A 27,449-nucleotide genomic window follows, 5' to 3' on the forward strand; every position below is an offset into this window, starting at 1 on the left:
TGTTTATGCTCTCTGGGTGGCAACATTGCACATGGGGAAAGTGGAGACATAGTAGGAGGCAGTGTTTATGTGAGTCATGCCCAAGTAAGCACAGTGGACGCTCACAGAGCCCAGAGAGGATCTGTGAAGGAATCCACGCTTGTCGCACCAGGCAGGGCACAGAGCCCCCTTCCCCAGTCTACTGAAGTTGCTGAGTGTCATAGACCGGGGTCACTGGGTAAGGCCTCATGGAGGACCCAGCCTGGGTAGGGCAGGGAAGCTGGCCAGGCCTGAGCAGGGAATGAGTGCTAGTCTCCCTTCAAGCCAAGCATAGTGCCAGGCACCTCGGAAGCTCTCCGGGAAAGAGGGAAGGTCGGGTAGGGCCCTACAAAGTTGCAGGGATCCTGTCACCCCCAAGTCTGGGCATCCAGTGTCTGAGACCTCGCCAGCCCCAGCAGGCTCCTCCTGGCAGGTGGTGCCCAGTGGGCTCCTATGCTCCTTTGCATGTGCTGTTCTTCCCCCTTCTCTTCCGGCTCCTCTCATTGCTGCCTGGACAGCCCCTTAGCTGCCTCCTTGCCTCCAGCCTCCTCCTCCAGTCCACTGCTGCCCTATCATCTTCCCAAAGACTTGTCTCTTCCTGCTCCTCTGTCTTCTGCTCCTCACCACCCACTGGAGAGGCCAGTCCCCCTCCTTGGCCTGGAGGGGACACCTGCCACCACGTGCGCTGGACATCCCCACCGCACCTCCTCACGAATCCTGAACCTTGAACTTGCTGTCATTCCACCACTGTCCCGCTCTTTCCACACTCACATCCCTGTGTGGGTATTTCCATGGCCTGGAATGTCCACTGCCCAGTCTTCTAGTAAAATAAATCTCATTCCTAAAATTGAAGCTTTCTTGAGATTTCTCTCTTGTGGCCCCTCTGGACTCCTCGAGGCTCTGTTGGACACCGCCTGCTCTGGGCTTCCATGCCCTTGGTTCATATTCCACAAGCACTTGCCTGTGGTCTTGTAATCCATCTGCCCCTGTGGGCGGGGCCTGAGCCTACGTATTCCCGGCCCCTTGAGTGGTGCCCGACTCTTGCTAATGCACCAGTAATTGTTGCTGAGTGAATAAGTAAGAGATTAAGGAGGAAGATAAACACCATTCTCTGCTTTTAGTATTATAAAACCGTCCCACAATTCCAACTTGTCCACGATGAACACTGCCCCTCTGGGGAGCACAGAGCTGCCGTGAGGCCTGCGCTCTGTGTGCTGCTGACCTCCTCTTACCAGGCCTCATCGGTGGAGCTCGGTCTGCTGTGCCCTCTTGCTCAGAGACCCCTCCAGCCCTCCTGACAGCTGGGTCAGCCCCAGCTCCTCCACATTTGTTTTCTTGTGCCAGCTTTGGATTCTGGAAAAACAGCTAGTGCTTTGGAAAATCAGCTCTACTTTATTTTTGTTCCTTTGAAACTTAAATGACTTTCCTAAGAAATGTCTGAGGTTAGAATGGTGCAGAAAGGACCATGGCCAAAGCCCAGGCAAGCTATTTTTGGGATGTGAATGAGCACCCATCGCATTTTTCCCTTCCATGAGCCGGAGCACTTGTTCCAAATAGCTCACAGCCTGGAATTACAAAGCACAGGCCCCCTTTGCACAGGCGGAGGAGGTCCACGTGTCTCTGTCTGTCTGTCTGTGAGTCTGACTGAGGTAGATGGTGTGCTTCCAGCTGATACCAGGAGCAGAAGTTTTGAGAAGAGACTGTTTGTCATGTGGATAGTGGAAAGCCCTGCTCTCTGGTAACGAATGAAGAAAGGCTTTAAAGCTGGGTGTCTACGGAGAGGTGGGCAGTCATGAAATCTAGAGAGATGTTCTCTGGAGTTTTTTCTGTCTGTGCCTTAGTGTAATGTGGCTGGGTTATATTCACATCAGCCAACCAATTTGCAGCACCGAGAATGATAGACTTTCAATGGTGCTATATATAGTGTACTTTTCTGGGTTGTTTTCCCTTTTCCTAGTCACTATTTGCAGAACCACTTGGCTTAGAGCAAGATTGACTAGGTACTGTTGGCATTAGCCAGGGCATAGCCCTGTGCAATCTGTGGTACTTTTCAGCCAGCAAGAGGAGCAGAGCATAGGGGAAGAGATTACCTGCAATGCCACATCGACAGGCCAAAAGGCACAATTCTGTATCTGTTATAAATATTTATGTTTAGTATTGAACACTAAATAGTGTGGTTAATATTTGAATGTCTTAAAGAAATTGCATTTTTACTTCTCAGCACCCATCCCCCACCCTAACCTCATCGTCCAAAGCTGACCTCTGCCTCCCCCTACTTTCACAGGTGTGACGTTTCTCCAGATACTTCATGCTGTTCACCTGTGTCCTCGCCGCACCACTGCCGCACACGACTCCTGAACCATGGGGGAAAACGAGGATGAGAAGCAGGCCCAGGCGGGGCAGGTTTTTGAGAACTTTGTCCAGGCATCCACGTGCAAAGGTACCCTCCAGGCCTTCAACATTCTCACACGACACCTGGACCTAGACCCTCTGGACCACAGAAACTTTTATTCCAAGCTCAAGTCCAAGGTGACCACCTGGAAAGCCAAAGCCCTGTGGTACAAATTGGATAAGCGTGGTTCCCACAAAGAGTATAAGCGAGGGAAGTCGTGCACGAACACCAAGGTAAGGGGAAACCCTCCTAGTCTTACCTTTGCAGGGCGTGTGGGTTGACATTTGGGAGGTTAGGAAGCTGTTGCCATTTTGGCACTCTACGGTTCTTAGGTGTGGGTGTGAATGTTGCATTGTTTTCCTCCGGTAAAGGTTTCCTTTGTCTCTAAGCATCAGCTTTTCCTGGCTGGGAGGTTCCCTCCACTCGTGCCCTCTCCAAGGGAGGGAAGCCAGAGGCAAAGTTGAGGGAGAGAAGCCCATGCTTGATATTACCCCCACTTCTATTATCCCTGCTGCCACTACTACTACTTCTAGTAGCTGCTATTTGTTGAGCAGCTTCTAGGTACAAGGTACTTTATGTCCATGATTTCAATGAACAGCTACAGCAGTCCTTCAGGCCATTTTAGAGATGGGGAAATTGAGAAGTCAGTTGTGCCCAAGGTCACACAACTAGAGGGCAACCTTAGTCCATCTGATTCTAGGGCCTAAGACCTAAATCTCAGGGAGAGGCATAGTTACAGAGTTGTGTTCGCCTGGGTGTGGACATTTTAGAAAGATCCCCTGGTTTTGGATTAATTGGCTAAGAAATAGGTCTAGGTCCTTACTGCCTCTTCCTCCCTGTCTCTTTCTCTTCCTCCTGATACCCCTGCATTCTCCACCTGCCCACTCCCTTCCTCAGGATGCATTTCTCTACCTAGGACCACACTCATAGTTAAGCCTACACGAACTGGTTGCATCCCCCATCATTTGGCCATAGACAGCATCGGCGAACATAGGCTCACTATCGCAACCTTTCTCTGACATTTCTGAAATGCCCAGCACCAGATGGGCAGGTGGGAGTCCAGGCGTCTCAGCTGACTTCCCTGGTGGCCGTTGGGGACTACCAGCCCTGAGCACTGGTGCAGGCTGTGTGTTTAGGTTAAAATCGAATGTGCTGTATTTAGACCTCACAGGAGGTAGCTCAGCTAGAACCCTAGGAATTCCAGCCGGTGCCAATCCCGGGACAAGAGGATTGAACTCTCCATGGCAGTCGGGACTGTTGTGTTTTTGTTTTGGTGGTGAGAAGCTGTCGAGTCCACCATGGGATATGCTGCTTTCCACTGCCCCTGGGGAGACAGCTGCCAAGCTCCTGTGAGCCTGGGGCACACTGACACTGCGGGACGTAGGAAAAGCATTCCATCAGGTTGAAACAGACCAGTCGCCTCAGCCCAGAGCAGACTAGCTATCCAGGCAGTGCCTGTTTATAACCTACCATGCTCCAGCTAGGCAGAGGAGATGGGGGAGGTAGGGAAAAGGAAGGGGGAGGAGAAGGTGAGACCAATGTCCTGGGTGCCACTCCTGCCCAGTGCCTCCCTTCCTCGTTGTTGTGACTTCATGGTTCAGAGTTCACGGGGTGGCTCTTCAGAGTTAAAGGAGGGGAAGCTTTTAGCTTCCAAAGTGTCATCCCTCTTAGTAATTGTATATGGTGGCTTCTTTTTTTTAAAGGTCCCATAAAAGTCAGGTGGCCCAGTTGCACTGTGTTCTCTCACAGAGGGTTTTCAGAGCTCTGGTTTTTATTAGGGAATGCTATTGCCCCATACACCCAACATGTTGTGGCTGCTGAGGGACCCTCTTGGTGATCTGAAGACAGATTGTCACAGGGAGTCAGCCAGCAGAGGGATGGAACGGAGGGCTGACCACCAAGAAGAGACCCTTCTTCCAAAACATACTAGCCAGTTGCCTAGCTGGTGTGGCCAGCCTCTATTTTACAAGCTTTGGTAGCTTGAAATAGAACAGTCATCACATCTTGTGGTTGGCAGGTCACCACTGGCTTCTGTGATGCAAAGGGAAAGAAAGCTCCTTTTGTTAGGGATGCTGGGTAAGGTGCCTCTTGCCCAGGAATTTTTATGCCTGTCTTGTGAGGAAGAACAAAGACATTTCACATGTGAGATAACCCATCTCGTAAAAACCGCCTGAATGCTGAGGACTGGAAGATACATTTGAGAATGCATTGTAAGTATGAACTGTGACTGTGTTAGGCTACTTGAGCTGTGCTTTTCAGAAACCCAGCTCAAAATAACCACAAAGAACAGGAAAATCATTGACTCATATTAACAGGAAGGTCCAGACACTTTAAGTCCTGACCTTAACTTGGGTGCTTTGATGCTTTGCTCTCTATTGGCTCCATGCTTCCCTCCTGCAAACACATTTTTCTCCATGTTCGAAGCCTCTCATTCACATCTTTATAGCTCCATTCCAAAAGGCTGGAATCTGTCTCTTCCAGGTCAATATTGAAAAAAACCTCAGAGAAGGATTCTAATTGGCCCACTTCTGGATTTATTATGGCCAAAGCCAGAGGAACTGGCTACTGTGATTGGCAGCCCTTTCAAGCATCACATGATTGATGTGAGGGAGGAGCAAATCCCCAAGGATGTGGGAGTGTGAGACAGATAATCAACAGGTGTCCTTGGCTGGGCGTCGCGGCTCACGCCTGTAATCCCAGCACTTTGGGAAGCCAAGGCAGGTGGATCACTTGAGGTCAGGAGTTCGAGATCAGCCTGGCCAACATGGTGAAACCCCATCTCTACTAAAAAATACAAAAAAAATTAGCCAGGTGTGGTGGCAAGTGCCTGTAGTCCCAGCTACTCAGGAGGCTGAGGCAGGAGAATCACTTGAACCCAGGAGGCATAGGTTGCAGTGAGCTGAGATCACACCGCTGCACTCCAGCCTGGGTGACAGAGCGAGACTCCATCTCAAAAAAAAAAAAAAAAAGAAAAGAAAGAAAGAAAGAAATAAAAAAATCACACAAAAAATGGGTGTCATCTACAGTGAGTGTTGATTTGTATTCTGGCCATGATACAGGCCCCTGGCATATCACATTCATGTGTGGGTGGTTAATGGCCAGCTCCATGAGGCCGGTGCTTGTACTCCTTGTTGTGAGTCAAAACACAGAACAGGGGTCCTCACCTCTTCCAACATGAACAGACACTGTCTTGCTCACATACCATGTTCAGGCATCCTTTGGTGTCATGGTTTATGCTGAGCATTAGTCAAGGAAGAAATGCTGGGCATTTGCATACATGTGGCTGATCATTAATGCTAAGCCAGATGACACAGGTTTGTCAGGTACCAGGCATAAAGCCAAGCTCCTGGTTAGCCATAGGCAGAGCAAGAATAAATGTAATTCAGCCAGAACCCCGACCTTTGTGCTAAAGTGGATGCATCTCAGCACCACCTGGAGTGGGTCTGGGCTTTAGCATTTCACAAGCATTTATCAGCCGCTGCCATATGCTGAGCACCATGCTCCTGCCTCCGTGCCACCATATGTGCGTGTATACACACGTGCGTGTGACAGTGGTGAGAGATTGGGGACCAGGATCTATTTGGAGAAGAAGGACGGGCTCTAATGGAGGTGTCAGGGGACAAGCAGAGTGGCCTGAGAGCTCTCTAGAGCAGTGGCTCAGGTGCCAGTTCCAAAATCTCACTTGGGATTATTGTTTATTATTGATGATTATTTATGAGGGTATTATTGGCACTGAATATTAATAATTCTTTCCCTGGGCGTGACTGTGTTTGGATAAGAATGAGGGTGAACTGAGGATCATGCCAAATGAACTCTTTCAGGATTGATAACTGGCTCTGTATTAGGGTAACACCTGACTCGAATGTTACACCCGACTGAGTAGTGTTACGGAGGAAAACGACCCAGAAGAACCTGCAATATGTAATTTGGTGTGGGAAATGCTATAATCACAAAATTTTGGACTCTGGTTATCTTTATATATAAATCTTTAATGCTAGAAGGAACTTAAGCAGATGTTATGTGCAATCTCTGCATTTAACAGGCCACAAACTGAGGTCCAGAAAGCTGAAGAGAGTGGCATTACTGGGATTTGGACTCTATTTACTGGTTTGCTCTTATATTCTTTTGTTTATTTGCTCATTAGCAGGTGTTTCCAGTGCCCTACACCTTACCAGGCATTTGACAGAGAGGATAGTTTGGAAGATGAATAAGATGTGGTTCTTACTTGAGCTTTATGTGAAGACAGATATGTAATTATTTCTGTATTCACTTTAATTAATCATTCATCAGGTGAATAGTTATTGAGCAGCTACTATGTGTCAGGCATTTGTCTAGCTATGTAATAGCTCTGTAGCCTTGGGCAAGTTACTTAATATCTCTGGTCCTCAGTAGCATTCTCTGTAAAATGAGGATAATAAGAGTAGCTACTTCATGGAGTTACCATGAGAGTTAAATAAGGTAACCTTTGTAAAGTGTAGAAGGCTGTCTAGCATTCTGATAAGTGATCAGTAAACATTTAGCCCTTATTATCATTAATATCTTAAGAGCTATGAGAGAGGTATGTACACTGGTCTGCAGGAGGATAGAAAAGCAAATGACTGACTGTGACAGGGGTAGTCTGGGAACGCTTCCTGGAAGAGGAGGTTTAATGTGGGGCTTGGCAGATGAGTAGGAGTTTGCCATGTAGAGCTGAGAAAACAGCTAAAGGGAGTGCATATATTCTAGGGAGAGTGTGTTGCTCTGTAATGGGAAAGGAGGAGTGTGTGGGGTGCGGGGAAAGGGTGAAAGCCGGAGAGAACAGAGTGGATGGATGGTAGGAAAGGCTGGAGGAAAACGCCTCCTGGTCCAGGCTGTGAACAGAGGGTCTCGTACTCAAACAGAGGACCTGGGAAACCATTAACAATGAGCCCCTGATTCCCAATCCTGTCCAGGGTTCTTTCCACCACTCCCCACAGGATTGCTCAGTAATCACAGGTACCATTACAGACCAGGGGGTATTTGTACATTGTTGCCATAAAAACTCGCAGGAAATGACTCATGGACTCTTGTCACCAGCAGGAATCAGGCCAGCGTATGTAATGAAAACTCTTGCGTTATCTTTTTAGAAGGATGTGACTGTATTTTATGAGTATGCAGCAGGGTCACCACACACCTTTTGCTCCTGGGCCCCTCCCCTGTGTGTAGCCCAGGCCCCGGTTTGTGCTCGAGGGCCAGACGGCCCTATGGTCCCCAGTTTCCTCCGTAGATCACACAGGGAGGCAGCGAGGCAGGGTGCAAGGATGTTAGGGGTGGAAGGGGTGACACCGGGAGCAAAGACTGCTACCCCTTGGCCTGGATAAACCTGTCTGACATTCCCGACCTCTGAAGTCATCCATCATGGCTGCGCTGGCTCAGACACTTCAAGGGCCACTTTGCCTGATACGGGCAGTTCCAGTCATAACCGATAAAGCAGAAGATGGTCCCTGGGGTGTGAAACTCTGTGCGAGTTGAAGAAAAAGCTTAAAAGAACTCTGGATTTGTCTGCTTACCTGACAATAGACTGCCGGCCCTGCAACATTGAACATGTTTCTGAGCCTGGATTGCCAGTCGGGTTGTACCAATGGTTGCATTTGTTACCACAGCTGCACATGGAATGTGTGGGGTTTGCATGAGTGTGTGTGTTGGGCATTATATGTGAGCTTGAGTAAATCCAATTCACAGCAATGTCATATGGAGAAGAAAAAACTTTCCTTTTTAGCTGTCCTCATAGGAAGTTGTTAATCCAGGTTTACTGAGTTCACTTTATAAATATATTTCTAAATAAAGACTTTTTTGTCTTTTTATGAAAAAACTAGGCCAGGTGGGATGGTTCACGCCTGTAACCCCAGCACTTTGGGAGGCTAAGCTGGGAGGAATGCTCAGGGCCAGGAGTTCGAAACCAAATTGGGCGACATAGTGAGACCTGGTCTCTACAGCAAATACACACACACACACACACACACACTTATGCACACATACACCATACATACACATACAGTTAGTCACACATATACACACATACACACACCACACACACATACACACATAGATACACAAATACATATACACCACACACATACACACACGCCACACACCATACACACATACATACACACATCACACATACATATATACAAATACATATATACACAAATACACACATACACACACATACTACACACACCACAAACCATACACACATTCATACATACCCCCCACACACCATATACACACATACACACACCACACACACGTACATACACATGCACTTATACACACATATACATGCATACATACCACACACATACATAACACCACACACACACTACACACATATCTATTTCTTTACATAGACACATATATATTTCTTTAAATATGTATATATAAATATATATTTCTGCCCCCATACTTATCTATATATTTCCATATATATTTCTTTATATATATACTTTTTCTTTATAAGGAAAAGAAAAGGTTTCTTTGAAAAAAATGCCTGCTCATGATAAAAAATAACTCAAGTAGGGTAAGAAAATATAGGGTGAGACCGGGCAAGTGGGACCAACACAGTGAGAAAACAATGTGTTTTCACTAGCTGAGGGTGGTGCACCCCACCGTGCCTGTGGTCCCAGCTACGTGGGAGGCTGAGGTGGGAGGATCGCTTGAGCCCAGGAGGTCAAGGCGGCAGTGAGCTATGATTGCACCAGAGTACTCTAGCCTGGGCAACAGAGCAAGATCCTGTCTCAAAAAAAAAAAAAAAAAGAAAAGAAAAGAAAAGAGAGAGAAAAAAAAAGACAAGACAAGACAGTGTGGATTTGAGCCTAAGCCAAGCTAATTTAAAAAAAAAGGAAAGAAAATTTAGTGTGGAAGAAGTTTCTTTTCTCCACTCCCCCAGTTTTCCTTCCTAGAGGCAAGTACTCTCCCATTTCTTTTGTGACCTTCCTGAAAATCTCTGCATGTTTGTGGATGTGTGTTATGGATGCATGCACTGCCCCCTTTATTTTCTTAATGGGAAAAAAAAATCTACACACATTTTTTTCTACACTGGTTCTGAACTTTTTTCACTGAAAAATATATCTTTGAGATTGCTTTATCTCAGTAGGTGTGGATCTAACTCTTTTATTCATGTCTTTTATGGTTTCTCATTTTATGGCTATAGCACAATAGCACCATCTCTTTTATTTATTTATTTATTTATTTTTGAGATGGAATCTTGCTCTGTCACCCAGGCTGGAGTGCAGTGGCATGATCTCAGCTCACTGCAACCTCCGCCTCTCAGGTTCAAGTGATTCTCTTGCCTCAGCCTCCCAAGTAGCTGGGACTACAGGCGTGAGCAACCATGCCCGGCTAACTTTGGTATTTTTAGTAGAAATGGAGTTTCACCATGTTGGCCAGGCTGGTCTCAAACTCCTGCCCTTGTGATCTGCCTGCCTCGGCCTCCCAAAGTGCTGGAATTACAGGCATGAGCCACCACACCGTCTATAGCACAATTTCTTTAGCTTAGCTTATTTCCAGTCTATTGCCATTTTAAACAGTGCTGCAGTGCATTTCCTTAACCACACTTGTTTGTATACGTGTGAAATTGTGAGACAAAGGGTATGTGTGCTACATTTAAAAATTATAGGCATTGTCAGATTCTCCTCCCTGGAGTGGATACTCCCACCAATAGTGCAAGGGAGTACCAAGAAGAGCCCTTCTTTAAAAAGAGAGTGCAGTAAGATGTTGCCTACTTAGATTTCCCGGGCTTTGCTGAGTGGGCATTGATAGACACCCTCTGAGTCCTGCAGCCTGGACTAGGTGACCTTGAATGGGGCCACTGGGTGAAGAGCAGTGCAGCAGTGAAGTGGCAGGGATTACTGCCATCCTTGTAACAACAACAGTTTTATTACCACCACCAAACATTTGCGTGGTGCTTTACAGCTCACAACACAGTTCCATATACATCGTTTCATTAAGAGGTTTACTTTGTCAGTCCCCATTTCTCACTCCTATAACCCCAGCACTTTGGGAGGCCTAGGTGGGTGGGTCCCTTGAGCCCAGGAATTCGAGACCAGCCCGGGCAATATGGCAATACCCCGTCTATACAAAAAATAGAAAAATTAGCCGGGTGTGATGGTGCATGCCTGTAGTCTCAACTACTGGGGAGTCTGAGTGGGGAGGCTGACTTGAGCCTGGGAGGTCAAGGCAGCAATAAGCCGTGATTGTGCCACAGCACTCCAGCCTGGGTGAAGAGCAAGACCCCATCTCAAAAAAATAAAAATAAAAAAGTTTGCTGTATCAGTAAAAGTGAATGTTCTTTAAGAGAAGAACACCTATAAGTGTATCAAATCAAATGCACTTATATTTCTCTTGAAAATTTCATCAAATAATGGGAGACTTTAGGGCCCTGGCCCATGGAGGATCTGTCCTATTAGTGCTGAACAGGGACCTGGCCTGGCTAACTTGTTCTCTTTATGATTCAGTTCAAGCAGACACCACCTCCTCCTGGGAGCCTTCCCTGACCATCTCCTCCCCATTGCCTCCTCTTATTCCATCCCCAATCTGGGTTTGGTGCCCCAGTGGGCTCCTAGATTCTCTGGTCCTATTGCTATCTTGCTGATCAGTGCCCCACATTGATGGCTTTGTCTCTTTTGACGGTGAGCTCCCTAAGGACAGGGAGCATGCCTGGTTCATCCCCGCGTCTCAAGTCCCCAGCACAGGGCTTGGCACAGGGAAGATGCACAGGGATAGAGGAGCGAACTCTGTGGCTCAAAGGGCTTCTTTCTGGAGCTTTACTATGTGAGCCCCGGTGTTTCCAAGCTTTGATGGTGGGTTTGAGGAAGACAAAACCAGACAATCCTTTCATTTCCTTATTTAAGCATCTGTCCAAGTTTGCATCCGAGCATTCCTTCCCTGCAGGGTGGGGATGGTGGCCACAGCCCTGTCTGGCCCTTGACTAGCATCTGGCTGCCCGTGGAGCTTTCAAAAGAGACGGGAAGTTAGCCAATAGGCTTGTGAAGCTGGAAGACTGAGCCTCCCTTTTCTTGGAGAAAAAAAGAAAACCCTCTTGCAGCTCCTGGCCCACCCAGGGTTGTACAAGGCCCTAGGGAGTCTCTGGCCAGGATTATCCAAATAAATGTGTATCTCTGGGCAGGGAGAAAGGAAACCATGAAGCAGTTTAACGCTCTCCTTCCCAGACTAAAAGGTAAACCCTGGCTTCCCTCTTCCTTGCTCACTGGAGACTCTTGTTCTGCTTTGTTTTTTTCCCACAATTAAAAATATCTTGGCAATCAGTGTATTCCTTGACCAGATAATTGTCCCACTTGATGTGAATGTATCTGTCTATCTCCTACTCAACAGGGTGGAGTACCAGGTTCAGTTCAGCCTCCTGCCACAGGGAAGGTCCTGGGCAGTTCACTGAGCCTGATTCTCAGGTTGTTCTCCTGCGCTGAATTTGTAAGAGTGCATTCAGCTGCAGGTAATTGAGATGCTGACCAGAGGCGAAAACAAATAGGGGCTTATGTTTTTAAGGAGAAGTGAGGAGAGAGGCAGTGGCTGGAGGTTCAGTAGCTATATTCTCTGATTCTCTAGGCCAGTGCCGCCCAAAAGAAATATAATGTAAGCCCATATATAATGTTAAACTTTCTATTAGCCACATTTTAGAAATATAAAGACGTGTTGAAATTGTAATAATATATTTTATTTAACCTAATATATCCACACTATTTCAACATGTAGTAAATATAAAAAATGATTACTGAGATATTTTGCTTTTTGTATATTACATTTTTGAAATACTGTGTATTTTACAGCTCATCTCAGTTAAGTCTAGCCACACATCAAGTGCTTACTAGCCACATGTGGCTAGCGGCTGTCAAATTGGACTGTGCAGTTTTCCTCATGCTTGTCACCTTGTAGTCACAAGGTGGCTGCTGCAGCTCCAGCCATCACATTTGCTTTCAAAGCAGGAAGAAGGTAGATGGGGTTGCTCTAGCTACATACATCTCTTTATCACGCAGGCAAAAGTGTTCCCAGAAACTCTGCTAAAATGTAAGCTCCATGGGCACAGGAATTTTTGCCTATATGTTCTCGGCTGATTCCCCAGCACCTAGGAAAATGCCTGACACATAACATGTATTTGTCTCAGGTTGAGTTCTTCAAATGCAGATGCTTAGTAGGTGTTTGGAGTGCAGGGTGTTCATCAGCAGTCAACACCTGTGAAAGGAATGGGGAAGACGATGATTGAGCTGAGGAAGAAGTCAAATTGTGTACAAGAGAATCAAATGTCTGCAGGTTCAAGCAATTAGGTCTCTTCCTACTTGGCCTTTCAGTAAATGAGTTTTGCAAGAAACAAGGTGGGAGACATCATGGTTCTCAGTTGATATTAGTGTTGTAGGACTTTCTCCTCAGTTCAGGTAAAAGCAGGGTTCTTGTCACATGGCCATGAAAGATTAGGCTCAAAGACACTTTGAAGGGTGAGAAAAATGGAATGTATTGGGTGAAAAGGAAGAAAAAAAAACTCAGCAAACTGAGAGAGGCTCCTATTAACAGGCCCCCATCTCACACATTGAATCCCAGGTACCACCCAGAACAGGAGAGGTCAGTCTCCTCCCCCTGCTAATGGTGCAAACTTCCCGAGGCCCCGCCCCATCCTCCCAGTGCACAGGCAGGTCAGAGGTTCTCTGGAGATCTCTTTATACTTGGCTGTCTCCTTAGGATGGTCAGCCATAAGCTACCAGCTCTCCATGTAACATGTACTAACATATATCCCGATACAAATATTGAAATATATAACATACATAGTTATAGAAATATATACTTAAGAGAAGTTGTAAATATAGTATATACATATATTTTTATGTATTATAATTATATTACATTAAAAAGTTACTCATTTCAAACTTCTATGCAGCTTCTTAGAAAGATAAACCGAGTCTATTATAATTTCAGAGGCTGCTCAGAGCCTTTGGCTCTATGTGACAGATTTCACTGCAACCTGGCGTATTCTACACCTCCTGCTATCGGTCTTACAGTCTTAAGAGATGTAAATACAGGGTAGCGAGCTATACCAAAGGGTGGTCTATGGGAAATCTGCAGTGGAAAGATTTTATTCTCAGGACCCTTTCTGCAGGGGACAGCTGTCAAAATCTGAGGAATATATAGGGGGAGATGTTTTTTAAGTTCAAATCTACAAGACTTAAGTCCAGGGGAAGTTTCATGTCCCCTTCCAGCCAAGGAGAACATGCTCATGTTTACTTGCAGCTGCCTGTTGCTCCTCTCTAGCTTTAAGAGAATGAGCTCTTGCATTTACTCTTTGCCCCTGGCATTCCCAATGTGTCTTTTTAAATTGTGGTAAAATATGTTTAACAAATTTGTCATCTCAACCATTTCTAGGTGTACAATTAATTCAGCGGCATTAATTACATTCTGGATGACGTACAACCATCACCGCTTCCTGTTTCCAAGATTTTTCCTCACTCCAAATAGAAACTTTGTGACCATTATGCAAAAACTCCCTGTTCCCTTCTTCCCTCAGCCCCTGCTACCCTCTCATCTTTTTGTTTGTGTAAATTTGTTTGTAATATTTCATGTAAGTGGAATCATATTGTCTTTGTCTTTTTGTGTTTGGTTTATTTCACTTAGCATAATATTTTTGAGGTTTGTCCACATGGTAGCATGTGTTGGAATTTCATTCTTTTCTTTTTCAATCTTAAAAATATATTTAACCAAATATATCCAAATTATTATTATTTCAGCATGTAATCACTGTGAAATTATTTAAAGCTATTTTACATTTTTTCGTACTGAGTTTTTGAAATCTGGTGTGTGTTTTATAGAGCATCTCAATTCAGATGCTAAATTTTAGTCAGAAATACTTAATCTGTATTTAAATTTTATAAAACTTACAGTTGAAAAAAGTAGATTTACATATCCAAGTTATTCCAGTCATAATTAAAACTTTTCCAGTAACTGAATTGAGTTTGAGGTTTTTTTCAAGCAAAATGTGGTAAAATATACATAACATAAAATTTTAACCATTTTAAAATGTATAATTTGGTATCATGAAGTACATTTACATTGTGGTACACCCATTACTATCATTCATCTCCAGAAGGTTTTCCATCTTGCAAAAATGAAACTCTGTACCCATAATCAGTCACTCCCCTCTCCTCCCCACCCCCACCCCCAGCCCCTGCCTACCACCATTCTACTTTCTGTCTCTAGAGTTTAACTATTAGGTACCTCGTTTAAGTGGAATTATACAGTATTTGTGGCTGGCTTATTCACTTGGCCTGATGTCCTCAAGGTTCATCTGTGACATATGCCAGAATTTCCTTCTTTTTAGGACTGAATAATATTCTATCCTATGTATGTACTGCATATGTTTATCCATTCATCCAGTGAGGAACCCTTGTTTTTTTTTTTCTGCTTTTTGGCTAAGATGAATAATGTGGTGATGAACACTGACGTGCAAGTATCAGTTTGAGTCTTTGTTTTCAGTTATTTTAGGTATATACCAGGAGTGGAATTGCTGAGTCATATGCTAATTCAACTTTTTGAGGAACCACCAAACTGTTTCCATTTACCCTTATATTTTAAATTGCCATCCCTGAGTTAAACTTTTCGCAATTATTAATTCATTCAAAAAATCATTTTCAGCCAGGCATGGTGGCTCACTCCTGTACTCCCAGTGCTTTGGGAGGCCAAGGTGAGTAGATTGCTTTAGCTCAGGAGATTGAGACCAGCCTGGACAACATGGCAAAATGCCATTTCTACAAAAAAATACAAAAAAGTAGTCTGGTGTGGTGGAATGCACCTGTAGTCCCAGCTACTTGGGAGGCTGAGATGGGAGGATCGCTTGAGCCTGGGAGATCAAGGCTGTAGCAAGATGAGATGACACATCTGCATTCCAGCCTGGGCAACAGAGTAAGACTCTGCTTAAAAAAAAAAAATCATTTTAAGTGCCTGCTACATGCCAGGTGCTAGGGACATAGCAGTAAAGAAAACAGACAAACCGAGCACGATGGCTCACGTCTGTAATCCCAGCACTTTGGGAAGCTGAGGCATGCAAATCACCTGAGGTCAGAAGTTCGAGACCAGCCTGGCCAACATGGTGAAACCCTGTCTCTACTAAAAATACAAAAATTAGCCAGGCGTGGTGGTGGGTGCCTGTAATCCCAGCTACTCAGGAGGCTAAGGCAGGAAAACTGCTTGAACCCAGGAGGTGGAGGTTGCAGTGAGCCGAGATTGCGCCACTCCACTCCAGCCCGGGCAACAGAGCAAGACTCTGGGTCGAAAACAAAAAAAAGAAAACAGACAAAATCCTTGTCCTCTTGGAGTTTATGTTCTTATCAGTGAGAGAGAGAGAGAAAGAGAGAGACAATAAACAAATGTGTGGGGAGTCTGTGTGTGTGTGTGTGTGTATGTCAGGTGTGTGTATATCCTAGGTAGAAGATACAGCAGGGCAGGGAGAGGAGAGTAGGTTGCTGTTTGATATAGGATGTCCTGGGAAGGCTTCTAGAAGATGGTGACATTTGAGCAGAGACCTAAAGGAGCAAGGTGATGAGTGTGCAGTTCTTAGAGGGGAGTGAATGCTAGGCAAAGGAGCAGCAGGTACAGAGGTGCTGACGCAAGTGTGCTCAGGATGTTGTGGAAACAGCAAGGAGACCTATGTAGCTGGAAGGAGGCAGGCTGGGGGTGGTAAGAGATGGGCCAGAGAGAGAGTGGGGTTGGGCCTTGGAACCCTTGAAAGGACTTGGGCTTTTACTCTGCATGAGATGCAAAGCCACAGGAGGCTTTGAGTGGAAAGTGACATGACTTCCTCAGGTAAGGAACTGTGAAATCTTGGGGATGAAAAACGTAAAGGAAGACTAGGGTCTCTCCTATCTGTGAGTCACGACCATCTCAGGCCTAAGGAATGTATTACATCCTGTGCTCATCATGTCTTAGAGGAGCTGCTCACTCTCTCACCACAAACCAGCAGATCAGGGACAGGCTGAAACCAGCCTCACTGCGAAGGTTAGGGCAGACTTGGCCATTCTGATTTAAAGTCTTTTTGGAAGAAAAAACCTTCCTGAATACCCATGACACTTAACACTACCCATGACTTATTGTGTGATCTTGTATCTTGGAGCCTCTGATTCTTCACCTATGAAATGAGAGTAATAATAATGATAGTTGTTATCTCATAGGGCTGGGGTAAAGGCTATGTGAGAAAACACATGTAAAACATATTAAGTGCCCAGCAACCGTTAATCGCCTCCTTCTACTTCTTGAACTATCCCCTTGCCTTTTGTGACACAACTTTTTTTAACATAAAATTGACCATTTTAACCATCTTTAAGTGCACAGTTCAGTGGCAATACATTTTTGTGCAGCCATCACCAACATTCATCCCCAGAACTTTTTTCATCTTGTAAAACTGAAACTCTACCCATTCAACAATAGCTGACAATTCTCCCCTCCCCTCAGCCTTTGGCAACCACCATTCTTTCTGTCTCTATGAATTTGATTACCGAAGTATCTCATATGAGTGGAATAATATAGTATTTGTCCTTTTGTGACTGTCTTATTTCCCTTAGCATAATGTCTTCAAGGTTCATCCATGTCGTAATGTATGTCTGAATTTCCTTCTTTTTTATGGCTGAATAATATTCCATTGTATATATAGACCACATTTTTGTATCTGTTCACTCATCAATGGACACAGGTTACTACTAACTTTCGGCTATTGTGAATAATGCCACTATGGATATACGTATCTATTTCTTCATGATCTATGGATATACGTATCTATTTCTTCATGATCATGCTTTAATTCTTTTGGGTATGTGGTATACCCAGAAGTGAAATTACTGGGTCAAATGGTAATTCTATTTTTACTTTTTTGAGGAACTGTCCTATTGTTTTCAAGTAGTTGTACCATTTTATATTCCTACTAGCAATGTCCAAGGGTTGAATTTTCTCCACATCCTCATCATACTTATTTTTTGTTTTTTATAGTAGGCATCCTAATGGGTGTGAGGTGGCATCTCATGATTTTGATTGGGATTTCCCTAATGATTAGTGATGTTGAGCATCTTTTCCTGTGCTTATTGTCCACTCATAAGTCTTCTTTAGAGAAATGTTTATTCCAGTCCTTTGCCCATTTTCGAATCAGGTTTTTTGTTTTGTTTTTATTGACTTTTAAGAGTTCTCTGTATATTCTGGATACTAACTCTTTGCCAGATATGGGATTTGGAAATATTTTCTCTCATTCTGTGGGTTATCTTTCTATTGTGTTGATAGTGTTCTTTGTTGCACAAAAGTTTTAAATTTTGATGAAGTCAAATTTGTCTATTTTTCCATTTGTTTCCTGTGGCTTTGGTGTCATATCCAAGAAATCCTGACCAAATTACTGTCATGAAGCTTTTGCCCTACATTTTCTTCTAGGAGTTTTTAGTTTCAGCTCTTTCAATTAGGTCTTTCATCCATTTTGATTAATTTTTGTATATGGGGTGAGGTACAGGTATGGCACAACTTTTCTGATTAATTTTTAAGAGTCTTATGCTTTATTTTTCTTTTCTGTAGTACATATTTGGTGTCTGAGGTTTGTCTCCAACTCCTTTTGTTTCTGTGAGGCCTGCTTTCTCAGGAAATCTCAGTTATATTTGCCTGTCACCCTCATGAAGATGACTCTCCACATTTCTATTTCTGGCCTGTACCTCTCTCTTGAGCCCCATGACCCCGTTGAAGTAATCTGATATTGTGAAATATATATATTTGGTCTTCTCCCCTTGGAATCTCCAGGGTGATAAGAGTGTCTTTTGCATGCTGATAAGATGCTTGGTGGCTGGCAGCCCATAGGCAGCTTCAGGATGAAGGCTGCTGCCTGAAAGGCCAAGCCAGTTTCCAGGGAGGAGAGAAGGGCTGAAGGTTAATTCGCTCATCAATGGCCAATGATTTCATCAACTGTGCCTACATGATGAAGCTGCCATTAAGACCCAAAAGGACTGGGTTCAGGGATCTTCCACTAGCTGAACACGTGGCAGTGACTGAAGGGAGGTGTGCTCAGAGAAGACATGGAAGCTGCTGACAAAAAACAAAGAACAAAAAAACCCCAACTTTTGTAAAATGTTTGAAGAGGTTTATTCTGAGCTAAATAAGAGTAACCATGGCCCGTGACACAGCCTCAGGAGGTCCTGAGAACATGTGCCCAAAGTAATTGGGTTATAGCTTGGTTTTGTACATTTTGGAGAGACAGAAATTATAGGCAAAGACATGAATCAATACATGTAAGGTATGGGGGTGGGGGGCAGGCATGGGGGCTTCCAGGACATAGGTGGATTCAAAGATTTTCTGATTGGCAATTGGTTGAAAGAGTTAAGCTTTGCCTGAAGAGTTTAAGTTGGCATAAAGAAATGTTTGAGTTAAGAAAAAAGGGGTTGTGGAAGCTAAGATTCGTGTTACCTAAATGAAGCCTCCAAGTAACAGGAGACTAGATGGTCTCCTTAAGAGAAACTAGATGGTAAATGTCTCTCATCAGACGGTATTATTATTATTACTATTTTTTTTTTTTTGAGACAGTATCTCGCTCTGTTGCCCAGGCTGGAGTGCAGTGGCATGATCACAGCTCACTGCAACCTCTGCCTCCAGGGCTCAAGCAGTTCTACTGCCTCAGCCTCCCGAGTAGCTGGGACTCCAGGCCCATCTCCTTTCTTCCTCCCACATGCAATCACACCTTCCTTTGCAGTTCTCTTCATGCTTGTCCCCTGCTCTTCGCCCCCACTGTCCCACTTTGGTTCAGGGACTGGCTGATTTCTTACCCAAGTGATCACACCTGCCAGCCTCTGGGCTCTCTTGGCCTTTCCTCCCCTCCAGTCCAGTACTGGCCCCTGCAGACTCACTCTTCCCAAGCACGGCTCAGATTGTGACTGCCCAAATTCAAAACTCCCACTGCCTGTGGATTAAAGTTCCAGCTCCAGCCTGGCCCAGTGACCTGTCTGATCAGCCCAGCTCCTGCCTCACCAACCTGTTTCCCACAACTCCCTTCTCACAGGCCGCCTTCTTGGCAGGCTCCTCCCCTAGTTCTCAGCCTCTCCTCCACCTGCCTCTGCCCAGCACTGTAGGCACTTTCCGTGTTCAGTCTGCTGAAATCCTGTCCTTGGAGATCCTCCACCTTTGCAGCTCCAGCAGCCTCCACCTCCTCGTACCTCTCACCTTCTCCCCAGCAGCCCAGCCCAGAGCCGCACCTAGGAGTTTTCCACTGCCCAAAACTGTCCCACCTAAACTCCCACTGGAAATGCTCCTCTCTAACCATGACTTGGAGCTGCTGCTTCTCTTACCATGTCATTCTCATGAGACCTGCTGCAAATCCACCTTCCCATCCTTAGCCAATGCCTGCCTGTCCTCCCGATCCACCTGCCTCCCAAGGGCTTCCTTCTTTTGCCCATCTGGGAGCCCACATTGTGCCTTTGCAATCGTGTTCAGCAGCTGCTCAGTGCTCCTGACTTCAGGCTGGCCCCACCCAAAGAGACTCTAGTGTCTCTAATTCTGCGTCCTGCTCTCGAGGGCTGCCTGGCACTGTTAGAGAGAGCTGCAGAGCCCAGCTGGTTGGTGTTGTTACCAAGTTATGATAACTTAATGCTGAGCCTCTCAGTGCTGCTGGGACAGCCTTTTCAGAAAATCTAGCCAGTTTCCTGTCTGTATCAATTCCCACAGCAGCTGTTCCCATCCTTTACCTCCTTCTCTGTTTCTTCAGCCCCTTCCCTTTAAGCAGCCATCTGACTTCTCATGAAAATCAATATTATCAGCTCTGTTTCGTCTTCTGTTCTCCACCAAATTTCTGGGGAAAGTAACTCTGTACTCCTTGCTCCCATATCTTCACCTTCCCCTTATCCCCTAACACACTGAAATCAGGGTTCATTCCCCTGTGCTAGTAGAAATGCTTTTTTCAGGGCCACTAGAGGCCTTGGGGTTAGCAAAGACCGTGACTACCTTGTATTGTCTACTTGGCCTTTTTCAGACATCAGATGTGGTGGGTTGCCATCTCCTTGAAGTCTCTTCTCCTTGAAGAGACACCTTGAGGGAGGGGAGAATGAGGGTTATACGCCTTTGTGAGGAATTGTAAATCTGAGTTTTAAGAGGTCCAGACTCTTGCAGTGTTTATATACATGTATATATGTATATATTTTTTTTTTGGCAGGAAGGTTTCCCATGAAGGGCATACCACTGGCCTTTCTTCTGGTGCTGCTGCACACGGCCACAGGTGTGGGTGACACTGATTTATGATCTCTTGTGCTGAAGGAAACTTCTGTATTTTTTGCCTCCCACATTGATTCTGAAGCTCCTGTTCATACCGAATGACTTATCCCTTGTTAGGGTTTAATAACATCACAATAGTATAAAGCTTTTCTGTTTACAGAGGAATTTTGCATTGAGTATCTCATTTGATTTGCACAATAACTCTGTGGGGTAATAAGGGCTGGGATTATTATCCCCACTTTACAGATGAGGAAACTGAGGCTTCACTGGGTTAAGGGACTTGCCTAGAATTTCCTGGGGATAAACGGAAGAATGTGACAGTGTTCAAAACCAACAGTCCTAGACTTTAGTTGCTCAACCTTTGAGGACTTCAGTGGAGAAAATGGGAAAGATATGAGATATATTGTATTTTCAAGTACACTATTTCTTCAACAGTTGATCTTGGGTGATAAGGATACAGAGAGGGCTCAGAAATTATTCTTGCCTTTATTTTCCTTCTTTTTTTTTTTTTTTTTTTTTTTTGAGATGGAGTTTTGCTCTTTTGCTCAGGCTGGAGTGAAATGGCGTGATCTCAGCTCACTGGAATCTCCGCCCCGCCACACCCCACCCCTGGGGGTTCAAGCGATTCTCCTGCCTCAGCCTCCCAAATAGCTGGGATTATAGGCACCTGCCACCATGCCTGGATAATTTTTCTATTTTTAGTAGAGACAGGGTTTTGCTATGTTGGCCAGAATGGTCTCAAACTCCTGACCTCAGGTGGTCCACCCACCTTGGCCTCCCAAAGCGCTAGGATTACAGGCATGAGCCACCGTGCCCGGCCTATTCTTACATTTATTTTCAAAAGAAATTCTGTCAGAAATATTTAAGGAGGGCAACAGCATTATTTTATATTTATGAATGTCTGGTTTTAGAATTTCACCTTTGTTTATTAGAAATTCTCGATTAAAGTCCTGGTACTATGAATCTGATGGATTTAGTAGTTTTCAATTTGCGGTTAAGGATGGCATTTGTAGCCTTATATCAGCTTCAATGTCTAATTTATTTTGTTTTGTTTACGTGAACTCAAAATCCATCCAGCCAAGAAGAGAATTTCAAGTAAAATGGTTTTTTTAACAGCTTACTTTACAGTCTCTTCAATTACAATAATCTGTAAACTTGAACATGAAGTAGGTAGATGTGTTTAACTTGCTTTAAGATTCAACCTTGAAACCAAACTTTTCTGCTTTGTAAGATCAAGGCAGCATCACCCACTTTAAAGAAAAGCTGTCAGTAGGACATGAGTTAGCTTAACAGGGGCCTGCAACATTAAAACATTCAATAAATCGCAACTGCTATTATTTTGTCCTACAGGTTTAAGGAAAAGTTGACAACTGTCCCCCATGCTGGGGATTCATGGTAGTGCTAGTCTGGTACACGGATTTTTAATTTCCTGGGGTCTGTGAACTTGAATGAAGAAAAAACCCTTTATTTTTACTAACCTCTAACTGAAACGTAATATATTCCCCAATTACAGGGACACTGTAGGCAACAAATCCATCTTAGGAGTGCCTGTGACTTCATCACTAATAGAAATCACAAATATTTTCATTCCTTCTTGCAGTGGTTGCAGATATCTCAAGCTAGGATTTACACTTACAACTAGAAATTATTATAAGTGAATAATTATTGAAATTATTGTAAGGTGTTAGACCTACAACTAGATCTTGTTACTTACTATTAGCTATGCTAGATCTGTTAATGTTTTGTTTTATGATTTAAAGAAAATATTCTGAGAAGGTGTCCATAGGTTTTATCAAGTTACTGAGATGGTTTGTGGCATAAAAATGGTTAAGGACCCCTGTTCTGATGCCATAGAGCTGGGAATAGAGGGGTCAGGAGCCATGTGGGGCCTGCCAGTGTAGTGGGTCAGGGGTGGGGGAGTTGCTGAAAAGAGCTTGGAAGGGATCCGGGTCAAATCTCTGCTCCTCTGCTTTTTAGTTTTGTGACTGGGGGCCAATTACTGGCTTGAGACCAAATTTCCACATCTGTAAAACAGCAATATTCTAACACACCGTAGCGGCTTTAGCACACACGACACGATTCCTAGCGATAGGAAATTGTCAGAAACGTAAATTCCTCTTTCCCTTCCTCCCAACTCTGTTCTGTTCCCTCTTGTGTGATATGAGAGATTTTAGTAGATGGCCTCTCTAAGGTCTTTTAAATGCACTGTGATTCTACGTTTTTCCTTTAATTAAGGTCACACCACACAGTCCATTGTTCGAGTCAGAGGTGGTGTCGTAATGCCTCAATGGATGGCTAGTCTTCCCTTCCTGGAGCAGCAGTGAGACGTTCAGACCCTTTCTGACCCTCCTCCCACTGTCCACCTTGGCTCTCCCTGGCTCACCTCCAGCCTGAGCTCATGGGTTGGGAATGTGTAGGCCGATCCTCTGCTCACTGGAGTGCTTGCAAGAGGGCCTTGGGGTAACATGTTCTGAGACCTATTCCTATACTGCCTGCCCCAGCTGATAGCAGGCCTGGGAAACCCATTAATCATTGTCCTCGGTGGCCCCGCAGACCTGCGTTTACTCTCACTGCTTCTCTATCTGCTGTTCCAAGCCAACTGTTCTTAGATGGAAAATGCAGCCTATTGTTGTCTTGGTGGAAAGGCGCTAAAATGATGGAATGCTTTCTTTGTTCAGGAAGTTAGGAGTATGTGGGGTGGGGGAGATGGCTTAATGCCTTCATGAAACCATATCCTGACTCCTTTTTTTTTTTCTTTTTTTTAAATCCTGAATCAGAAAAGTTTTGTGGTCACTGGGTTTGGATGTAATACATTGTTGTGGTTTTGTTGCTTTGTCATTTAACTGACCTGGGCCTTGGAATCATGCTCTATTTCAACTCAGTTTTCAGAGTGGGTGAACACGTTTGGCGTGCCCAGCTGACCGCTGCATTGCTCATTAAAATGATTGCCAGAGTCATGGCCTGGTGGACATCTGTCCACACTCAGCATGTCCTCCCCCTTGTCCTGGCCCAGACACAGAGCCTCTGCTCCAGCTCAGAGCCCAGAATCTAACCGCCTGTGCCCTTCTCAGGCACAGATGTTTCTGAGACTGAACTGAGCCAAGAGAGGTGGATGGTGCATTTGGGGTCTTAAATATCACTGGTAGGATGCTGGCTAGGGACTGTGGAGGTGAGAGGGACACTCTTGCTTCAGGACATAGGAGAAGTAGGTGTGCTGTGGACACTGTTGACATAGACTACCCTTGAAGCTCTTATTTCTTCAAGCCACAGAGTGAGACGGTGGTGTGGCACAGGGCCTGAGAGCATGGTCTTTGAGGTCAGACCAACCTGGGTTTGCATCCCACTTATGGCTGTGAGACTTTTTTTTATTTTTTTGAGACAGGGTCTCACTCTGTTGTCCAGGCTGTTGTGCAGTGGCACAAATCAGCTCACTGCAACCTCCATCTCCTGGGCTCAAGTGATCCTTCCACCTCAGCCTCCCGAGTAGCTGGGACCACCGGTGTGCACTACTATGTTTGCCTAATTTTTGTGTGCTTTTGCAGAGATGGGTTTTGCCATGTTGCCCAGGCTGGTCTTGAACTCCTGAGCTCAAGTGATCCACTCGCCTTGGTTTCCCAAAGTGCTGGGATTACAGGTGTGAGCCACCACGTCGGATCTTGGCTGTGTGACCTTAAGCATGTTACTTCACCTCTCTGTGCCTCAGTTTCCTTAATTGAAAAATGATAATAGTCTCCAACTTTGAGGGTGATTGTGAGGCCTGGATAAAATAATATGTGTAAAGCACTTAGAACAGTGGCCGGCATAGAGGAAGATGATTACCTTTGTCATGATTACTGTTTGTCAGGACTGTTTGAAAGGACTCTGAGCGGAAGCTCTCTATCTGGCTGCCTCCCTGTCCTGCAAGCCGCTCCCTGTTCACCATTCTCCTCCTGGTTAAGTACGGGCATCTGTGTCCCAAGAGAGGGCTCCACTGCAGACCCTGACCACCAGCATACCTGCCCACAGAGGCCGAAAATGTGGTAGTCAGCTGCTTCTCTGAAATTCCAGCCCGGGAGAGGTAAACTAAGGAAATGCCATCCTCCTGAGTGTCCTGAACTGTCATCTGTCCCAGCGAATGTCTGACATTAAGGTTTGTGATGGAATTAAGCTCTTCTGAGAGATTTCATAAATAAATTCCCAATACAGTATTAAACCAAGCCTACTGCTGGGCCTTTCTGTACTTTTACTGTCACAAGAATGAGCTTAGGAGAATCATTGTTTCAGTCAGTTGTGGGGAGAGAGTTTGGGTGAGTTTAATTTGGTGGCTGGTAACAACAGCAGTAACTGACCCATACTGAGCCCTACAGTTTCCAATGCCCCTGTCTAGCTTCAGGTGTTGGTGAGATTATCCCACCACACAGATTGCTCAAAGGAACTGTCAGCTCAGCTGCCTTGTGCTCAGAATCTCTCTAGTTAGCCAGGCCTCCTGAATCATCTGCCTTGTAAGTTTGCATAGCAGGAGGGGAGGAAGCAAGGCTTCATGTAGCCTAGTGAGTTAGGAAAAGGCCGATGGCCCAAGGAGGGTGTCCCCATCTGCCCTCTCCAAGATTCTTCCTGTTCAAATGAGGTGTTTGTAGAAGACCTAGAATAGCAGTTAGCTTTCATTCAGCAAGGCTGACTGGATGGGTGGGGGGATGGATAGGTGGGTGGGTGGGTGGGTGGGTGGGTGGGTGGGGGGATGGATGGGTGGGTGTGTGGATGAATGGGTGGGTGGCTGGATGGATGGATGGGTGGGGGGATGGGTGGGTGGCAGGATGGATGGTTGGATGGGTGGGTAAGTAGATGGGTGGATGAATGGGTGGAGTCATGACTGCACTCTTCTAGATGCTGGAGGTAAAGCAGTAAGCACTCAATAAGCACTGCTGGGATAAAAACCATTACTGTTGTTCAGTGCTAGAGGGAATTGTGAAGACGTATACACATTGGCCATTCCATCATGCCTTCCCACAAAGAAGATAAGCTTCTCTCCTTATATCCTTTCATCTTGATCCAAGCCACTCGTGCTTCCTTCCCATCCCCATGACAGGATCTACCCATCTCAAAGCCGTCACTTGCTGTATTGCCTGGGGCTGGAAACTGAGCTTCCTAGCAAGTCTCTGATGTGTGTTAGGTGTTACTGTTACCATTTCATGGATGAGCAGACTGTGGCTGGAGGAGACCAGGTACCTAAAGGGGAGGAGAATTTCAGTGTTTAATTCTTAGTTCTCTGTTCAGCCCTAGTTCTTAGTGTTCTTTGTACGGTACTCCGCACTGCTCAGCTCTCCCAGCAGAGGCAATAAAGACGTCCAAACCCATATACAGTGTGTAAAAAAGAAGATCCAGGATCTCTGGAGGCCTGGAGGAAGCCAAAGTGACCCTTTTGTACTCTGTCATGCTTCCTATAAACTGCTTCAAATTGAATCCCAACGCCAGCCTGCGATCATGTTTTCAAAATACTGCCGAGGCTTTGAAACTCTCTTTGCTACATATGATGTGCTTCCCAGGCACATAGCAGGTGCTCAGCAAAGGAGTCATGGAACTAGAGGGTTGGCCCAGTAGCTCTGATGGAGCCCCAGCTCTGGGCACTGGCGAGCATTTCCTCTCCACTTAGGCAGGGAGATGACAGCCCTCTTGCCAGCTGCAGGGGGAGGTCTTCCGTTACAGGATTAACTGGCGCCTGCACTTTTGCTGGAAACTTGTGGGAAGTGGCTGAGAGCTCTCCAGTGCTTAAGAAGTGGGTTTTGGAAAACAAACAAGATCTTGCCTACGCAGGAATAGGAATGAAGCAAAGGTTAGACATGGCTTGGGGGAGTTTTTTTCTTTTTTTTTCTTTTTTTGGTTTGACTGAATAACAGGCTAGAAGGAACTCTCAAAGTTCAAAGTGGGCCTTAGACCCTTTAAAAGTAGGTCCATAAACTTGTGTAGAGGACAGTGAGTTCTCTGTTTAGAGTAAATTTAATGACAACTATCATTTGTAAAAGGCATCATAATTTACAAAGCCCTTTCCACATGCACTGTATGTGTATATAAATACTATATGTGACCTTCCCCTTTAAGATTATTTATCCCACGATTTGAGGGCGCCTAGACAATTTTTAAAAAAAGATTTTTTTTTTAAAGATGCATGGTCTCTTCATTTTGCCTGTAGTATAGTGGAAATAACACAGGCAGGCTTCCAGTCTCTGGGCCTCAGTTTACCCAGCTGCAAAACAAGGACAATAGGAGAGATGGACCCAGGGAAGGTTTGCCTCTTACGGGCTCAAGAGCCTACTGGGAGTGCAGAGAGTGGGAGCTGAGTTGACTCTGAACATATTGGGCCATTCAAGGGTGCCCAGCACAGGTGGTGGGGACCCCAGACATCAGCGGCAGGGAGGTCCCCTTCAGATGCTGCCAGCTCAGAGGATACAGAGCTGTCTCTTCCTGAAGCCAGATGGGGAGGCTGAGGCCCACGGGCCCATGAGCAGCTGGGCTGTGTACCCATCTGCCCTCCTACACCTGGTTCTCAAGGTGATCTGCCTGTGTCCCTGTCCCCGACTGTGCTAATTCTTGAGTGTAGTCCCTGAGTGGTGAATAGGATTTCCCTCCATGAATTAGAGCAGCGGTGTGCTTTCTGCCTGAGGCTCCAGCGAGGACTCTGATCCTGTGTCCCCTCTGCTCTCTCCCCGTGTGGGGCTCTGCCTCTTCCTCTTCCTTTGTGTCCTCCTCTGTCCTCTTCCTGCCCTCATTCATCTTTTCTTTCTCTTCTTCCCTCCTCTGTAATCCCATGGAGCTGACTGGTTTTTAA

At 45.3% G+C, this 27,449-nt stretch overlaps 1 protein-coding gene and 1 non-coding gene across 23 annotated transcripts in view, besides 5 other annotated features; both read left to right on the top strand.

Annotated features, from left to right (window-relative positions):
* The window catches only part of MICAL2 (microtubule associated monooxygenase, calponin and LIM domain containing 2), a 251,551-nt gene that overhangs the window by 49,187 nt on the left and 174,915 nt on the right, over positions 1 to 27,449 (top strand). For all 22 annotated transcript variants that reach the window (NR_144419.2, NR_144417.2, NR_144420.2 and 19 more), the window contains 1 exon segment: positions 2,303 to 2,643. Coding sequence is in view for 16 of the 22 variants with exons in the window: in NM_001393937.1 (NP_001380866.1) it covers positions 2,380 to 2,643 (264 nt within the window). In the remaining 6 variants the exon portion in view is untranslated.
* Positions 3,648 to 4,147: an enhancer, noted in NCBI's record as "H3K4me1 hESC enhancer chr11:12184971-12185470 (GRCh37/hg19 assembly coordinates)". NCBI's record gives its function as "activates a minimal SCP1, AML or CMV promoter by ChIP-STARR-seq in primed H9 embryonic stem cells {active_cell/tissue: H9 hESC(primed)}" and the evidence as "EXISTENCE:reporter gene assay evidence [ECO:0000049][PMID:30033119]".
* On the top strand, positions 3,907 to 3,991 carry MIR6124 (microRNA 6124). The gene has a single exon (NR_106739.1). It is a non-coding gene; the product is annotated as a microRNA 6124 (primary transcript).
* Positions 7,406 to 7,700: an enhancer, noted in NCBI's record as "tiled region #10887; HepG2 Activating DNase matched - State 8:EnhW, and K562 Activating DNase unmatched - State 5:Enh". NCBI's record gives its function as "activates a minimal TATA promoter and a strong SV40 promoter by Sharpr-MPRA in HepG2 and K562 cells {active_cell/tissue: HepG2 | K562}" and the evidence as "EXISTENCE:reporter gene assay evidence [ECO:0000049][PMID:27701403]".
* Positions 14,816 to 14,865: an enhancer, noted in NCBI's record as "active region_4462". NCBI's record gives its function as "activates an Ori minimal core promoter by ATAC-STARR-seq in GM12878 lymphoblastoid cells {active_cell/tissue: GM12878}" and the evidence as "EXISTENCE:reporter gene assay evidence [ECO:0000049][PMID:35858748]".
* Positions 18,964 to 19,838: an enhancer, noted in NCBI's record as "H3K27ac-H3K4me1 hESC enhancer chr11:12200287-12201161 (GRCh37/hg19 assembly coordinates)". NCBI's record gives its function as "activates a minimal SCP1, AML or CMV promoter by ChIP-STARR-seq in naive H9 embryonic stem cells {active_cell/tissue: H9 hESC(naive)}" and the evidence as "EXISTENCE:reporter gene assay evidence [ECO:0000049][PMID:30033119]".
* Positions 22,558 to 23,058: an enhancer, noted in NCBI's record as "H3K27ac hESC enhancer chr11:12203881-12204381 (GRCh37/hg19 assembly coordinates)". NCBI's record gives its function as "activates a minimal SCP1, AML or CMV promoter by ChIP-STARR-seq in naive H9 embryonic stem cells {active_cell/tissue: H9 hESC(naive)}" and the evidence as "EXISTENCE:reporter gene assay evidence [ECO:0000049][PMID:30033119]".

This window comes from Homo sapiens, chromosome 11 (assembly GCF_000001405.40).
Source record: "Homo sapiens chromosome 11, GRCh38.p14 Primary Assembly".
Lineage (NCBI taxonomy): Eukaryota > Metazoa > Chordata > Mammalia > Primates > Hominidae > Homo > Homo sapiens.